The sequence below is a fragment of the Homo sapiens genome, chromosome 4, assembly GCF_000001405.40.
Source record: "Homo sapiens chromosome 4, GRCh38.p14 Primary Assembly".
Lineage (NCBI taxonomy): Eukaryota > Metazoa > Chordata > Mammalia > Primates > Hominidae > Homo > Homo sapiens.
Genome location: NC_000004.12, coordinates 6,824,904 through 6,843,477, shown reverse-complemented (window position 1 = coordinate 6,843,477; position 18,574 = coordinate 6,824,904). Strand labels below are relative to the sequence as shown.

At 41.8% G+C, this 18,574-nt stretch overlaps 1 protein-coding gene across 22 annotated transcripts in view; it reads right to left on the bottom strand.

Moving 5' to 3' along the window:
- KIAA0232 overlaps positions 1-18,574 on the bottom strand; it is a 101,438-nt gene that overhangs the window by 40,687 nt on the left and 42,177 nt on the right. For 20 of the 22 annotated variants that reach the window (XM_047416450.1, XM_047416446.1, XM_047416453.1 and 17 more), the window contains one exon: positions 1,274-1,411. In XM_047416450.1, coding sequence (XP_047272406.1) covers positions 1,274-1,411 — 138 coding nt within the window. Of the gene's footprint in view, positions 1-1,273; positions 1,412-12,526; positions 12,804-13,307; positions 13,434-18,574 lie in introns of those variants that run through there. The other 2 variants (XM_011513598.4, XM_024454290.2) reach the window with 2 other exon arrangements.

Here is an 18,574-nt window from a genome sequence, read left to right as displayed (position 1 = left end):
AATTAGGAGTTGGATGAGAACAGAAAGGTGGGAAACACTAAGCAAGCCTTAAAAACCGTTTGCATCAGTGGCAGCCAGACAGAATAAACTTCTGCAGATTGTCAAAGATAACAAAGCCAACGATCGCAACACTAGACCATTCAACAATTAGTCCAGGAAGGAAGTTTCTGGAGGTCAGAATCCACTCAATTTCGCCTTGCATCATAAAGGTACTTAAACCATACCTTCTCAAATAGTATGGTCAAAGCAAAATGACTCTTTCAGTAGTTACGATCTCACAGATAACATCTTAGAGTGAATAATAAAATAAGAATTCATAATATTAACTGCAAAAGATATTTTTTAATTATTTTGTTATTTCAGGAAACTGAAAGACATGAGAAATATTTTATATGAAATGCTAAAAGAATAAAATAATATTGTAATATTTTCTAAAAACAAAAAATATATAAATCATATGCCAATACAGTACTTTTGAAGTGTTTGAACTGCTATTCCCTTCTAGGAATGTATCCAAATGTAATAATACAGACCACTGAAAAACCCCACATAACATATTCTAGACTGCATAACAGAAAAATCAAGAGCGGGCCGGGCGCGATGGCTCATGCCTATAATCTCAGCACTTTGGGAGGCCACGGCAGGCAGATCACCTGAGATCAGGAGTTCAAGACCAGCCTGGCCAACATGGTGAAACCCCATCTCTACTAAAAAATGCAAAAAAATTAGCCAGGCATGGTGGCACGTGCCTGTAATTCTGGCTACTCCGGAGGCTGAGGCACAAGAATCGCTTAAACCTGGGAGGCAGAGGTTGCAGTAAGTTGAGATCACACCACTGCACTCCAGCCTGGGCGACAGAGTGAGACACTGTCTTAAAAAAAAAAAAAAAAAATCAAGAGCAAGGTAAACATCCAGTAATAAAGATTATATTATAATATTATACTGCTGTTGAAATATTATTTGATGAAATGCAACTTAGCCACTAAAAAGAATAAAGACAATGTAATAACAGGATGAAATAGTCGAGTTGGAAAAAGGATATAAAATTTTGTGTATACTCTTAATTAGAGTAGCACATATAAAAGAAAAGCATATAAAACTTCAGAAAATATAGAAAAATACCATAAAGGAAAAGTGGTAATGTTCATGTTACTTGGTAAAATAAATAAGTACTTTGTTTTCCCAGTTTTTGGAGGTCAAGTTGTCATATTTGTAAACTTAAATCACCCCTTCTTTTATTCTCTTAAGTGTTAGAAACAAAATGTAAACTTACTTCATCAGAAGCAGATCGAAGACACTGGACAGCAGCCTGTTTTTTCATTTCTTCTAGAGTTAGATCTGAACATTTTTTCTTACTCTTTCCCCATTTCTTATAAGCTCCTTTTTCCCAGCCCAGGAAGATGTCATTCTCCTGCAATGAAATTGCACCAGGTTAAATGACCAGGGCTAACTTGGACACTACTATGTTCCACCTACCACACACACTCAGTCACAAAAAGGCCCCTTGCATTTCCATACGAGTTTTAGGATCGGCTTGTCTATTTCTGCGACGAAGGGAGCTGGCATTCCAAGACGGATTATCTTGATTCTATAAAACAACTTGGGGTGTACTGCCATCTTAATAGTATTGTTTTCTGATCACAAACATGGGATGTTTTCTATTTATTTAGGTCTTCTTTGATTTCTTTCAAAGATGCTTTATAGTTTTTGGTGCACAAGTCTTGCACTTTTGTCAAATTTTTTCTTAAGCATATTCTTTTTTATACTATTGCAAATGGAGTTTTTTCTTAATTTCATTCCTTAGGATTTTCTCTATATTCTAAACAAGATCATGTCATATGTGACTAGAGTCTTACTTCTTCCTTTTCAATCTGTATGTCTTTTCCTTACCTAACTGCCCTCTTAATGCTGATTTATAAAAAAAGTTTATGTATTTCATCTTTGAAAATGTCTTCACACAAATAGAAATTGCCAAATGCTGGTATTAATCCACAAGCATGAGTTTAACTGAACATATTTGGTTAGAAGGCATTTATAGAATTCTGTTAAATTTGTATCTTGATATTTGCCTTCTAGCATGTCAGTATATTGTAGATTAATACTAAGGAATGAAAGTTAATGAAAGCGCCTTGCTAACTTAAGTAGGCAAATAGATTTTGAGATAAAGAAATTTCCTTTGCACTGCGTATCCAGTATGAAAAATGCTGCTGGAAGAGCAGTTTGAGCCTGGACAACTTACCCATGATAAATTTGTGTGGGGATGGAGATTTCACTTCTTGTTTTAACTTTTGACAGAACAAAAAATGTATGAAGCAGCCTGACATTATTTATGATTCAAATAATGTTAGAGTGACTTTATCACATTATTTAGGTTGAATTAAGAAACATCACATCTGTAGCAAAAGCTACATAAACAACAGTATATATCACACACACTTGTTTGCATTCTGTTCTTTATACTTGTATTTGAGAGGTCCCTCATGCTGTTTTTTTAAGGCTTAATGTACTACGTTAATGTACCATAACTTAACCAAAATTTAACAGCATTGAATTGTTAATCACAGCTTAAAGAAATGAGTATAAAAAGAACCAAGATATTTCTATCTCACTTATTGTTATCCTTTTAGTCTCCTATCCTGTACTATTAAAAGTCTGCTTATGACTGGGGGCGATGGCTCATGTCTGTAATCCCAGCACTTTGGGAGGCAGAGGTGGGTGGATCACGAGGTTAGGAGTGTCTCAAAAAAAAAAAAAAAGTCTGCTTATACATAAACATAAAATATTAGACATTTGTCAAATAGTTACTCAGTCCTAATCTTAAAGAAACAACATAATTATCAAGTACCAAAAGCAGATACAACTAAGGAACTCCCCAGCATGAGAGTCTATTATCAGGTACTTTTCTAGACACTACAGGGAGGTCACGTAAGGCTAGAGTTCTGATTGACTTTTCCATGCTGTCTTTATCAAAAGGGAGATTGGGAACTGGGGGAGAAAAAGCACACGCCACTTGGAAATACACCAGCAGTCACTGGAGGCTAGCTGCTGAGCATACGCCCCTGCCTCACAGTGCCTAAATGACCAAAACCACAATGTGTCTGCATGGGATTAACACTACCCCCATCATCCCTTTGGCCACAAAGATTGGCTCAGAGAGAGGCACGTGGCCAATCAGAAATGCACATTTCATGGTCCTTGCTGGGAATGCGGGGAACATGACCTCTGGACAGTGTGTGAGAATATGATCCCAGAAGCATGCTCATTGTCACCACCCTTTACCCTACAAGGAGCTGGCTGCAAAACCAAGCTGACAAAAAGAGGTAGGCAGAGAGGCAGAGCAGAAGCCTGAATGACACTGGGAAGCTCTGAATCAAACCTAACAGGGGCCAGCCCAACTTCTGGACTTTTAGTTATTTGAGTCTTTTTTCCCCCGTAAGCCAATTTAGGCCAAACTTTGGGTTGCTTGTGAATGAGATACAGTCAGATTCTGAGGAGAGCATTCAGTAATAAATCCACTGATATATTGCTCAAAATAACCCCTATTTGCCCCTAAAAAATGAGCCGCTCCAATCAAACAAGCATAATTTCAGGTTAACTATATTCCTGTTTTTCCTACTAGGTCTTCAGCCCACAGTGATGACCTCCTCACTGACCTACCTGTCTGCCCACTGCCATGCCATTAAGTCCTGCTGGCTAAACTCGATCTACAGGTCTTTTGTCTCTAGGACATAACTAGAAATGCCCTCACACAGCACATCAGTCTCTTCAGGGTCTGTTTCCTGCGGGCCTGCCCCACTCTGACCTTCGACTACCCCCTCCTCAGCATACTCTTTTCTGACCTTACAGCATCAGGCCCCTCCTATTTCTGTGTCTTTGTACACACTATTCCTTTATACACACTATTCCTTTATTCTTCCTTCAAGGTGATTCCTAAACTGGCAGTTGTCACTCAGGGACCATCCCTAGTTTTCTCTGTATTGATGCATTCACATTTGCACATAAAAGCAGAAATGTCAGTTTTAAAACATGGGATATTTATATTTAAAACTTCTCTATTCCATGAGAACATTTTACACACACAAAAAGTGTTAATGGTGTCTTGGGAAGTATAGGAATTTGTGTACCCATCATTAGCACCAACTCTCACTCTGAAATTATTTTCATATTCCTTATATGTAAAATTTTATATATTTTCTTCTGCCTAACGTAAGTGCTAATGCAAAATCTAAACCTGACGGTGATGGGAAAAAATTTAATCAATTTTCATATAAGAGCTAAAATTAATCTTATTAATCAATGTCATTCCTAGAAGCTTGAAAGGAAGAATCCTTAGCTTTATTTATTTTATTTCTGAGACAGAGTCTTGCTCTGTAACCCAGGCTGGAGTGTAGTGGCGTGATCTTGGCTCATTGCAACCTCTGCCTCCTGGGTTCAAGAGATTCTCGTGCCTTAGCCTGAGTAGCTGGGATTGCAGGCATGCGCCACCACACCTGGCTAATTTCTGTATTTTTAGTGGAGATGGGGTTTTGCCATGTTGGCTGGGCTGGTCTTGAACTCCTGGCCTCAAGTGATCTGCCCGCCTCGGCCTCCCAGAGTGCTAGGATTACAGGCGTGAGCCACCTCACCTGGCCAGCTTTATTTATTTTAAACGTATCAATTCATAAACTACCAAAAACATGTATTAGCTTCAAGCAACCTTTATAACAATTTTGAAATGGACTTTGTCTCAAAAAAAAAAAAAAAAAAAAAAGCTGCTTTGAAAGTACAAGTCAGTTCCACCCCAACATCAATCCTCACAGGTAACTACTGTCAACAGTTGGCATATATCTTAACAGATTTATTTTAAATGTGGAATTTATCCCACATAGCAGAGTATATACAATGTAAATGTACAGTTTTAAGAATAATAATATATCTATCAGGTAACAGTCAGACCTAGAATACTCCCAGTAACCTCAGAAGCCTCATCTGTCAAAAGCTATCTTTAGGTGGGGCATATGGTGGCTCATACCTATAATCCTAGCAATTTGGGAGGCAGAGGTGGGCAGATCACTTGAGCCCAGGAGTTTGAGAACAGCCTGGCCAACATTGTGAAACTCTGTCTCCAAGAAAAATACAAAAATTAGCCGGGCATGGTGGTGTCCACCTGCAGTCCCAGCTACTTGGAAGGCTGAGGTGGGAGAATTGCTTGAGCCTGGGAGGCGGAGGCTGCAGTGAGCAGAGATCACGCCACTGTGCTCCAGTTTGGGTGACAGAGTAAGACCCTGTCTCAAAAAAAAAAAAAAAAAGCTATCTTTGTTACCCTCATACTTACTAGTTCGGGTAAGATCTTTTAGAATGGAGATAATTTTTCTCAGAATCTGAAAGGTATTGCTCCATAGACTCTCAAATGCAACACTACAGGTTAGAAATCCTAATTCTACAGAATGGGAGTAAATTTTTGCAATCTATCCATCTGACAAAGGGCTAATATCCAGAATCTACAAAGAACTTAAACAAATTTACAAGAAAAAAACAAACAACCGCCTCTGCCTCTCCCTCTCCCTCTCCCTCCCCCTCCCCCTCTCCCCTTTGCACGGTCTCCCTCTAATGCCCAGCCAAGGCTGGACTGTGCTGCCGCCATCTCGGCTCACTGCAACCTCCCTGCCTGATTCTCCTGCCTCAGCCTGCCCGGTGCCTGGGATTGCTGGCACGCGCCGCCCACGCCTGACTGGTTTTTGTATTTTTTGGTGGAGACGGGGTTTCGCCGTGTTGGCTGTGCTGGTCTCCAGCTTCTGACCGCGAGTGATCTGCCAGCTTCGGCCTCCCGAGGTGCCGGGATTGCAGACGGAGTCTCGCTCACTCAGTGCTCAATGTTGCCCAGGCTGGAATGCAGTGGCGTGATCTCGGCTCGCTACAACCTCCACCTCCCAGCCGCCTGCCTTGGCCTCCCAAAGTGCCGAGACTGCAGCCTCTGCCTGGCCGCCACCCCGTCTAGGAAGTGAGGAGCGTCTCTGCCCAGCCGCCCATCGTCTGGGATGTGAGGAGCCCCTCTGCCCGGCCGCCCAGCCTGGGAAGTGAGGAGCGCCTCTTCCCGGCCGTCATCCCGTCTAGGAAGTGAGGAGCCTCTCTGCCCGGCCGCCCATCGTCTGGGATGTGGGGAGCACCTCTGCCCAGCCGCGACCCCATTTGGGAACTGAGGAGCGTCTCTGCCCCGCCGCCAACCCGTCTGGGAGGTGAGGAGCGTCTGTGACCCGCCGCCCCTTCTGAGAAGTGAGGAGCCCCTCCGCCCGGCAGCCGCCCCGCCTGGGAAGTGAGGAGCCCCTCCGCCCCGCCAGCCGGCCCGTTCGGGAGGTGGGGGGCAGCCCCCGCCCGGCCGCTGCCCCGTCTGGGAGGTGGGGGCCCCTCTGCCCGGCCGCCACCCCGTCTGGGAGGTGTACCCAACAGCTCATGGAGAATGGGCCATGATGACGATGGCGGTTTTGTCGAATAGAAAGGGGGGAAGTGTGGGGAAAAGAAAGGGAGATCAGATTGTTACCGTGTCTGTGTGGAAAGAAATAGACAGGAGACTCCATTTTGTTCTGTACTAAGAAAAATTCTTCTGCCTTGGGATGCTGTTAATCTATAACCTTGCCCCCAACCCCGTGCTCTCTGAAACATGTGCTGTGTCCACTAAGGGTTAAATGGATTAAGGGCGGTGCAAGATGTGCTTTGTTAAACAGAGGCTTGAAGGCAGCATGCTCCTTAAGAGTCATCACCGCTCCCTAATCTCACGTACTCAGGGACACAAACACTGCGGAAGGCGGCAGGGCCCTCTGCCTAGGAAAACCAGAGACCTTTGTTCACATGTTTATCTGCTGACCTTCCCTCCACTATTGTCCTACGACCCTGCCAAATCCCCCTCTCCGAGAAACACCCAAGAATGATCAATAAATACTAAAAAAAAAAAAAAGAAAAGAAAAAAAAAAAAGAAAAAGGACAAACAACCCTTAATACAATTATTAAGCACAATAGAGTGAGAAACAAAGAAATCAGGAAAAAGTGAGAACAATATTTCTACAAGTACAAGAAATGGGGGGAAAGTGTTAGGACTCAAAGCCACCAAACTGTGTATTCTAATTTTCAATATACATATATGATTTGCAAAGCCAAAAAAAAAAAACAAAACAAAAAACAAACAAACAACCCCATCAAAAAGTGGGCAAAGGATATGCATAGACACTTCTCAAAAGAAGACATTTATGCAGCCAACAGACATATGAAAAAATGCTCATCATCACTGGTCATCAGAGAAATGCAAATCAAAACCACAATGAGATACCATCTCACACCAGTTAGAATGGCCATCATCAAAAAGTCAGGAAACAACAGATGCTGGAGAAGATGTGGAGAGATAGGAACGCTTCTACACTATTGGTGGGACTGTAAATTAGTTCAACCATTGTGGAAGACAGTGTGGCGATCCCTCAAGGATCTAGAACTAGAAATACCATTGGACCCAGCATTCCCATTACTGGGTATATACCCAAAGGATTATAAATCATGCTACTATAAAGACACATGCACATGTATGTTTATTGCAGCACTATTCACAATAGCAAAGACATGGAACCAACCCAAATGTCCATCAATAATAGACTGGATAAAGAAAATGTGGCACATATACACCATGGAATACTACGCAGCCATAAAAAAGGATGAGTTCATGTCCTTTGCAGGGACACAGATGAAGATGAAAACCATTATTCTCAGCAAAATATCACAAGGACAGAAAACCAAACACTTCATGTTCTCACTCATAAGCGGGAATTGAACAATGAGAACACATGGACACAGGGAGGGGAACATCACACACCGGGGGCCTGTTGGGAGGCGGGGAGCTGGGGGAGGGATAGCGTTAGGAGAAATACCTAATGTAAATGACGAGTTGATGGGTGCAGCAAACCAACATGGCAGATGTATACCTATGTAACGAACCTGCACATTGTGCATATGTACTCTAGAACTTAAAGTATACTACTAATAAAAAGAAATCCTAATTCTTTGGGTAAGGCTTGTTTTTTCTTTGGAAAAATCGTAGCTTTGTACTTGGTGGTCTAAAATTTTGAAACCAAACCTTGACAGAGTGGTGGTTCTACCATCAAGAGAGTGATGCTTCTTCCCCTTGAACTTGTGTGGGCTCCAGTCGGCTCAACAGAGTGCAATGGAAGTGATTCTATGTGACTTTCAAGGCTCGGTGGTAAAAGGCCTTAAGCTTCTACCTGATTCTCTTGGGCTACTCGCTTTGAGGGACCCAGCCAACCACATAAGCCTAGCTACTTCCTGACCCACATGAAGAGGCTCTGGTCAACAATCCCAGCTGAGTCCAGCCCTCTAGCACACCTGCCAAGATGACAGACATGTCAGTAAAGCTATCTTGGGCCTTCCAGCTCAGCCTGTCTGTCAGCTGAGTACCAATGAGTGACTTTGGGTGAATCACCCAATTAAGCCCTGCCCAAATTCCTTACTTACAGATTCTGTCATATGATCGTGTTGTTGTTGTTGTTTTAATGCTACTAAGTTTTGGGGCAGTTTCTTGGGCAACAACACTCTTACCACAAATAAAAGTATTTCTTTTGTGCTAAACAACTCTCTTTTAAACTCAAGAGAACCACCCCTACCCCTCCCATTATAACTTTTACAGTGAACAAATCCAGGTTCATTCTATCTATATGTACCATCAAAAGATTTTTACTTTAGTTTCTTAAAATTTATTATTTTTTTAACCTGGTCATCATGTCACAAAAAATAAGAGTAATTGCCACTGGAATTTGTCAGTCTTAAAGAACACCTTTTCAAGGGACCCAATTGTGTCAAAGGTAATAATTACATCCAGAAATATTATAGTGACCATGTTTGCTGAATGCATAATTAGGATATATGGCAGGGCTAAATATTTCAAATTGAGATTGTTAGGGTAAATGTTGGAAATACTGTATCAGCAGCTTATCTTTGCCTCTAACAAATGCATTAGCCTACCTGCTAGAAGAGGAGTAGTTAATAGGAAAATAACTATTTGAAGGAAATATTTGTATGAATAGCAACAATAATAGCAATAGTTGTCAATATTTACTGAGCACTTACTTTGTGTCTAGTATTCCTCTAACTATATTATCAGTACATAAAATGATGCCTGGCACCTATATGGTCAATAAATGAATCTCCTTTAATCCTCAGTAACGATATTAGATATGCACATAATTTGTACAATTTATAAATGAAAAGACAGCTGTAGTGCCAGCTACTTGGAAGGCTGAGACAGGAGGACCCTTGAGCCCAAGAGTTCGAGGCTCAGTGAGCTCTGAGAAACACTGCACTCCAGCCTGGGCGAAAGCAAGACCCTATCTCTAAAATAATAATAATAATAAGAAAAGAAATGGAGAGTCAGGCACAGAGATGTTAACTTGTCCAAGTCAGTGGTCTAAGTTGGAAAGTGAAGAAGGTGGGGTTAGAACACAGGTCTTCAGATTCCAAGGCCTATGTTCTTAACAATGTGATACTGACTTACAGTAAGCGGGGGAAATCTCAAAAGGGAAAGAGAGAACAGGAGACTGCAGGTCTGAAAGTCACTTGGGATAAAAGTCAAGGTGGTATTAAAGGAACTTTTGGTCTGGGTCAGTAGTACAAGTTTTTTCACCCTATAACCCTTCTGATATCTCCTGCTTAATTCTTCATGAATTATCCAGTGATGTATATGCTATTTCATACCTACTACCCAGAAAGGTTTTTGTCACTATGGGAGTCAAAGTGAATACTGGCATGTATATACTCTTCCATCAGTAGCATGAACACTTTCTTCTTCCTTTTTTTTTCTTTTTTTCCTTTTTTTGAGATGCAGTCTCACTCTGTTGCCTAGGCTGGAGTGCAGTGACACAATCATGGCTCACTGCAGCCTCGACCTCCCTGGGCTCAGGTGATCCTCCAACCTCAGCCTCCCGAGCAGCTGAGACTACAGGCACACACCACCATGCCTGGCTAATTTTTGTATTATTTGTAGAGACAGGGTTTCTCCATGTTGCCCAGGCTAGTTTCAAACTCCTGGGCTCAAGTAATAGCATGGAATAATTCTTAGGAAGTTTTCAGGGATAGGGAAGGTTCTAGAAAGATACTCCTGGCTTTCTTCCTGGAGCTCTGAAATGCTGATTTGAAATAAGAGAATAAAAATAGGAAGTGTTGTTTAAATGCAAATAACAATGCTTGTGATGTAGAAGGTTATTTAATTAAAGTCTGTTGAATGTTTGTTGAAATACAGTGTATGCAGTGACACACACGAGGAGCGCTTTATGGTCAGACTTTTACAGTTCCTATTGTTAAAGATTCTAATAAACTGTAACAGGAAACACCGCAGATGCTAGCTTTTCAAGAAGCGTAATGCTGAACGGGACACGCTACAGGAGTATGTTACAAATAGGCTGAAGGAGCAAATAAGGTCTGTTGAATGAAGAAGGGATGAGTCTCACCTAGCACTCAGGACTGGGATTATTATTTATACAACCTGTGGGCAAATACAGATAATGTAATAATCCAGTTACATTTCTAGAAGGATGGACTCTGAGCTAGTAGATACAATTTGATTAGGGGATTTAAAACAAGCAACAGTAACTTCTCTGCAGGGCAGGCCCCAGTGTGTGATTATGGGGTCTACACCCACTCCTAGCATGCTTCCCTCCTACACACAAGTCACAGACCTGAGAAAGAAACATGTGGCTATCCATTTGTCTAATACGTATCTGAGCCTCTTGTATATTCCAGGAACTGTTTTAAGGGCTGGGAATCCAACAGAAAACATAGCAGAAAAGGTCCCCAACTCTGGCTGGGCGTGGTGGTTCACTTCTGTAATCCCAGCACTTTGGGAGGCCAAGGCAGGCAGATCACTTGAGGTCAGGAGCTCGAGACCAGCCTGGCCCACATGGTGAAACCCCATCTCTACTAAAAATACAAAAATTAGCCAGGTGTGGTGGTGGGCGCCTGTAATGCCAGCTACTCGGGTGGCTGAGGCAGGAGAATCGCTTGAACCTGGGAGGTGGAGGTTGCAGTGAGCCGAGATCACGCCACTACACTCCAGCCTAGGCAACACAGCAAGAGTCCCTCTCCAAAAAAAAAAAAAAAGGCCCCAACTTCATGAATTACATATGCCAGTAGGGGAGACATAATTAAATCACAAGTAATCATATAATTTCAGGTAATAAAAAATGTCATGAAGAAAAATAAATTAGGTAAGAGGGCTGAGAATGGGAGGCTTCTATTTTAAATACAGTGGGTCAGGGAAAGACTGAGGATAAGACAAAATATATATCAAAACCAAACTATGCCATTAAACAAATAAATACTCTCTTTTAAAAAGTAATTGGTGGCAGCACAACTCTCTTGCCTAGATTAACTAGAAAAGCCAATAACGACACAAAGACAAACCAAACCTACATCACCTTCTGCAGGGCATCAGAGCCCTGCTGAGGTGCCAGGCATTGAGAAGACAGTGAGTGCCAAGGGAAAGGTAGGTGTGGGCATAGGGCACTGACATCTGCAGCTGCTTCCTTCCTGGGGAAATATGCTGACCTAGGTCCGGGACAAGAGGCTGAGAAAAAGGTGGCCCTTTGAAGAGGCAAAGAAAGCAGCAGAACTTGGAGTGAACTCTTAGGGCCAGAGGGAGAACACCTGAGATACAGATGCCAAGGTCCAAGCAAGAGGAAGGGGTTGGAAGCAGAGGGCACTCTGCTGGCCTCCCCTCTGAGCATGTGAGGAACTCTAAAGCTGTGTGGGACACGAGGGGGGCTTCTGGGTTGCCAGTAATCTTCCATTTCTGTGTGTGGCTATAGTTACAGGGATATGATCTTTGTGAAAATTCATCAAGTTGTACATTTTTCTGTATGCATTTTATGCCTCAATAAAAAGTTTAGGGAAAAAAACCTCTTATTCTTGTACAGAATCCATGGTTGTTCTCTATATGGAACAGTTAGTAAAGTTCTGGGAGTCCTAAGATCTAAAAAAAGAAATCTAACCATCCAACACCACCTAAAGCCATCACTCAGATGGAGGGGCCATCACGAAAGGATACTTTTGGAGGTGGTCTGCAAAGAAAAAACTTCTAGAAAAAGACAACAAAATCGGCCAGGTGTGGTGGCTCACGCCTGTAATCCCAGCGCTTTGGGAGGCCGAGGCGGGCGGATCACGAGGTCAAGACTTCGAGACCAGCCTGACCAACATAGTGAAACCCTGTCTCCACTAAAAATACAAAAATTAGCTGGGCGTGGTGGCGCGCACCTGTAATCCCAGCTACTTGGGAGGCTGGGGCAGGAGAATCGCTTGAACCTGGGAGGTGGAGGTTGCAGTGAGCCGAGGTCGCACCACTGCATTCCAGCCTGGGCGACAGGGCGAGACTCCGTCTCAAAAAAATAATAAATAAATAAATTTTAAAAAATAAAAAATAAAAAAAAAGAGAAAGAAAGCACTACTTTGTACAAAGGTAGTTAGACAGGACTTTTTTGGGGTGGTTCAGCACCCTACTTACTCATTCCATATTTCCCTTGGAGAATCATCCTCTCCAATTCTTAGTCCTTGTGGTTCCAGGTGCTTGTACCCTAGCCACCCAAGTCTTGTCACTGCAGTGATCAGGTCAGGAACAGTTCCATAGCAAAGATGACCTATTAGGATGAGAAGCCTGCTCTTTCTGCTGGACACACATACACAAAAAAGGGTGTAAGTCTGAGCTTACAGCGGGCAGGGTAGGGGTGAAGCTTGAGAATAAAGAAAACAGGCCGGGCATGGCAGCTCACACCTATAATCCCAGCACTTTGGGAGGCCAAGGTGGGTGGATCACTTGAGGCCAGGAGTTCGAGACCAGCCTGGCCAACATGGTGAAACCCTGTGTCTACTAAAAATATAAAAATTACCCAGGCATGGTAATGCACGCCTGTAATCTAGCTACTCAGGAGCCTAAGGCAGGAGAATCACTTGAACCCAGGAGGCAGAGGCTGCAGTGAGCTGAGATCGCCCCTGCACTCTAGCCTGGGCAACACAGTGAGTGCTCCATCTCAAAAAAAAAAAAAAAAAAAAAAAGACAACAGAGAAGGCAAGCTAAAAGACGGGGCACTGATTTTACTGTAGGCCCTGGATCAAGTTGCCACTGGGGTCAGCCCTAATTCCCAGATATTTCAAGTTTTTTAAACCAGTAAATGCTCCAAAATTTACTAGCTGTGTGGCCTTGGGCAAGCTATTTAACCACTGTCACTATCTCCACTTATGAAATACAAATAATAACAGGATGGTGTAAGGAAGATTAAATGAGTTACCGTGAATGGAAAATGAGTGCCTTCAACAGTGGCTGGCACACAGCACATGATACATATGTGTTTGCTTTTACTATTACTTCTGTTTAAGCCAGATTGAGCTGGGTTTTCTGTTATCATCACAGACTCCTAATAAGAATAATAAACAAAGAATGCATTATGCTGAGAACATCAATGTATAACAAGAAAAGTTTTAATAAACTCTCAATGGTAGTTTAATTAGCTATAAAGGAAACGAAAGCATATTTGGGGTTATAAGAACAATACTGAAACACACCCTCATCTGCTAGTGCATCCCTTCCCACCTGTGACAGATCATGGGGAGACCTACTGTCAACTATCAGTCTAGCACAACTTCTGGGCAGGAAAAGTTAACTCCCATTTTAAGTTATAATGTTACTGAAGTTCTCCTTTTAGTCATTTTTTGAGTAAGACTGTAAAATGTTTTAAACTAATGTAACAAATGTGTTGTAAGATGTACAGGATCTAAGCTTAATGTTCCAGGTCACCAGTCAATGCACACTGCCATGCCATTCACTTTCAGGCTGTGGGAGCTTAATACTTACTTTCGAGGTTTGGCTTGCAGACTGAATAAGGCAATCCTTACATATTAAGTGGCTGGTGCTGCATCTTACATGCTGTGATGTTCCTTATGTGACCAGGCTACTGATTTTTAAAAGATGGAAGGCACTGTAGTAAAATGTCAACTACTAAATGTAGAGGGGATCACTGAGTTAGGAAAATCACCACTTTTCAACCACCCAACTAATAACTGATTCAGGCAAGGAACATCAATGGATGGTAAAAGTATCAAAGTCTCCCTGCACAGATCGCTTATTCATTACAAGGAGAAACCTGGCAGACACCATCTGAACCATGATAAACCAAGTCAGCGTCTCCAAGAATGATAAAGACTGTCGTCACTGGCCCTCTAATGTGATATGCAGAAAAAAAGAAAACATCATTATGCAATGCTACTACCATAAATGCACAAGCCAACTCTAAAGATACGAGGAAATATCCGAAAAACCCAAATTAAGGGATGTTTTGCAAAACTGGCCTGGACTCTCCAAAAGTGTCCATGTCATGAGATGCCAGGGAAAAACAAGGAATTATTACAGATGAAAGGAGATTAAGGAGATGTGGCCATTAAAGTCGATGCATAATCTCAAACTAGATACTAGATGAGGGAGAAAACTGCAATGAGAAACAATATCGGGACAGGTGACAAAAACTGAATATTGACTGTATATCTGACAATAAAGTTTCATCAATGCTAATTTTCCTGAATTTTGTAATTGTAATATGACTAAGGGAAAGTCTTTGATCTTAAAAAGTACATGCTAGTTTACTCAGAGAGGTCAGCATGAAGAGAAGACAGAAATAAAGCAAAAGTAGAAGATGAAGAAAAGTGGGCTAAAGGGTACAAACATACACGTAAACAACGAGTCACTTCGAGTATTCAACAGTATGGTAGGGAGACTACAGCTAATAATATTTATTGTATATTTCAAAATAGCGAGAAAAGAATTGGACTATTTCCAACACAAAGAAAAGATAAATGTTTAAGGAGACAGGTAACTCAAATACCCTGATTTGATAACATCTTATATTCATGTATCAAAAATCATAATACCCACAAATATGTACAACTATTATATATCAATAAAAGAAAGCAAATGTGTGAAAATACTAACAATTGATGACTGAAGAAAACATGAGAGCTCCCTGTACTATCCTAGCTGTTAGTGAGGTCTGAAATTATTTCATTTTAAAAAGTTAAATTTATTTATTTTTTAAGAGACAGGGTCTCGCTGTGTTTCCAAGGCTGGAGTGCAGCGTCATGATCGCTGCTCACTGCAGCCTCCACCCCCCAGGCTCAAGCGATCCTCCTACCTCAGCTTCCCAAGTTGCTGGGACTACAGGTAAACCCCACTGCATCCAGATAATTTTTTTTAAGAGATGGAGTCTCACTATGTTGCCCAGGCTGGTTAAACTTTTTTAAAAAAGATTAATATATGATTTCTGCCCATAAGGATGTTATAACCTACTGAGAAACAGAATACATTCCAGTAACGATAATGAAAAGCTTTACAGTAAAATATTACCAAGTTTGGTAGAAGACATTGCTTTCATCAGAAATTATCAGAAAAAGTTTCAGAGACAGAGGTGACCTACGCTTTGAAAGATGGGTGAGAAAAGCAGTTTATATAAAATAAAAGTGATATGTAGTGATTTCCTGATTATCTTAGAATATACTTCCCAGACAGAGTAATCATGACCAAAAAAAAAAGAAAGAAGAAACATTTATGGAAATAAAACTACTGGCACAGTGACCGTATCTCCATATTACAAGGCAGTGGTTCTCTGGAACTACATTGTAACCAGCCCACCACCACAAATGTGTTTATAACCCTGCCCAAATTAGAGGTTTATAGATGATTCAGCCTTAAACAAGACTAGGATCTGATCAGCTTTACTTCCTTATCCTGCACAACTGAGACCAAACTGATGCATAAAATCTGTTTTAGAACTCAAGAGCACTGCGTGTTTGCTTTAGCCTAAAACAGAAAAGTGATGGGTCTTCAAACTGGCCGCTCATGGCTAGACTAACTCAAGGACTAAGGGGTGAGCGAAGATGTGAGGAAATGAACACCCAGGAGTACAGTGGTTTGGCCTCCACTCGAGGGGCTGCGTTATCACAGGCATGAGCCAGAGATCAGGAAAGGTGGCACACATCTTCACCCAGGTCTGTCAGCCTTGCTGTTAGCTGGAGTTCTGATGACAGAAGCTAAGGCCCCTTCCACTCTCCTTACTCTTGCTAGAAGAGAACCATCCTTGTCTTCCGCATCCTCTCTGCCTGGGGAAACCGTAAGTACATCCTCCCTTTGAGTCAGGCATCTGGCTTTTGCCACCTTTAACAAGGGACTGTAACTTCACGGAAAAGCAATGCAGGGGATAAAGGATTCTCAAGTCATGTCTTACTAAAACAGGTATTTAAAATTTGACCTTCTTCATTGGCGTGGGACTTGGCACACATGGCTGTTACTTTGGACCAAGTAGAAAAATATTTTAGGGCCTTTTATTTCCCTACGGATTCTCCTTGTAACTCCAGACATGTTATGTTTTCCCTAACCTTTATCTGTCCTGTGTCCTGAGGAACGAACCGGAACTCTGGAGGGAGGATCAAACACAGCTGCAGATACTGATAGTTCATCTTATCTCTGACCACAACCCCCTAGAGTTAGTAAAGAAACCAGAGGATTCACAAGTCTGATCAGAGATGTTATTACTATAATCTTATTAACATCTGGCCTGTTTTATCCTATATGTCCTGTAGCACCCAGCACATACTTTGTGCTAGTAAATTTATTGGTGTTGATTAAATATTGTAGACTGAAAATAGCTGACATACAACTCTTAAGAAATGAGAAGTTCAAGTCCTACTAAAAAACTATTCTTTCCAGCCTAGGCAACAGAAAGAGACATAGTTTTTTAAAAATTAGCTGGGTGGGGTGCCACACACATGTGGTTCCAGCTACTCAGGAGACAGAGGCAGGAAGATCGCTTGAGCCCAGGAGGTTAAGACTGCAGTGAGCTATGATCACGCCACTGCACTCCAGCCTGGGCAAAAGAGCAAGACCCTGTCTCCAAAAAAAAAAAAAAAAAAATCATTCCCTATGAGTACATGCTTACAATAAAGTACATAATTTTTGAATGATGAGAAATATTTTCCTCATTTCTGGAAATTAAAGTCCTTCTATGTTTGTAGATTTAACGTCTTACTTGCCTGTAAAGGAGCATATTTGACATTTACCAGAAAGATGATAACAGAGCTCTGGTAAGGAAATTATACAAAATACTGACCACCAAAATAACACATTTGCTGATTATTAGGTTATAAGTTAATCCCTTCAAAACCTTACTTGACCTAATGCCAGCCAAGGCAGCAAGCAACCTGGAAGCAAGAAAAATGCCGCTGTGTCCAGCTAGACATGATGAGAAACCCCTCTCATCAAACATGCTCTGCACAACTGAGGTATAAAACATGTTAAGCTGGCTGGAAAGAGTAGCTCCCCATCTGTAATGCCAGCACTTTGGGAGGCTGAGGTGGGAGGATTGCTTGAGCCCAGGAGTTCAAGGCTTCAGTGAGCTATGATCACACCACTGCACTCCAGCCTGGGTGACAGAGCAAGACCCTGTCTCAAAAAAAGTTAAGCATCTTGGTGAAATCCTCTGTATGTGTTATTTATAGGACTTTGAAGTTTTTTTGTGTGGTCTGGAGGGGCAAAGCCAATATCTCCTGACAATGAAACCCTTCCTGCTCTCAGTGTGGGTAACGATGGTTTAAAACTGCAACAAAAACTGCCCACAAAATACCTCCTTCTTTTTACTGTCTATAAAAACCAAAAGATTTTATGTGAAATTTGTAGATAGAAGTCACCCAGAGCCCATTTATTCAGTACTGATGACTCTGGTTCCCTCTGGCAGGCCTCACTTTCAGTAGCTCCTCTTAAGAATGAGACTGAGGTTAACATTTTTTTCAAGAACCTGTATTTGGTTTCTCTTGCTTTCTCTTTCTCTCTCTCTCTCTCTCTCTCGTGTATGCGTGCGAGAGAGAGACAGGGTCTTGCTCTGTTGCCAAGGCTGGAGTGCAATGGCGCAATCATGGCTGACTGCAGCCTCGACTTTCTGGGCTCAAGTGATCCTCCCACCTCAGCCTCCTGAGTAGCTACGGACTGACTACAGGCACATGCTACCATGCCTGGCTAATTTTTTAATACTTTTTGTAAAGACTGGGTTCTATGTTGCCAAGGCTGGTCTCAAACTCCTGGTTTAAAGGGATCCTCCCGCCTCGGCCTCCCAAAGTGTTGGGACTCTAAGTGTGAACCACCACACCCAGCCCAATTTCTCACTATAAACTCAGCGGCAAAGTCAAATAAAATGTGTAATGACCAACTTGCAAGGTGACACATCCTGACTTATAGCAAAATTGTGTGCTTTACTGAACTTTAAGTCTACTGATTTGTCATACATACTGACTAATAAGCAGATAAACATCATTCTTGCAGATAAAATACAATATTAAATTTGGAAGGCAAGAAGTATAATAGACGCAATGTTTAAATATCTATTCATAATGTGTGAGTTTTCTAAATAGTAGAAATCAACATTCCAGAGCACTGCTACTCAAAGGCAGCAGGTCACCAAACTATGACCAGTCCATGACAAGATCTGGAGTCTATGCCAAAACGTAACCAACAGTGAGA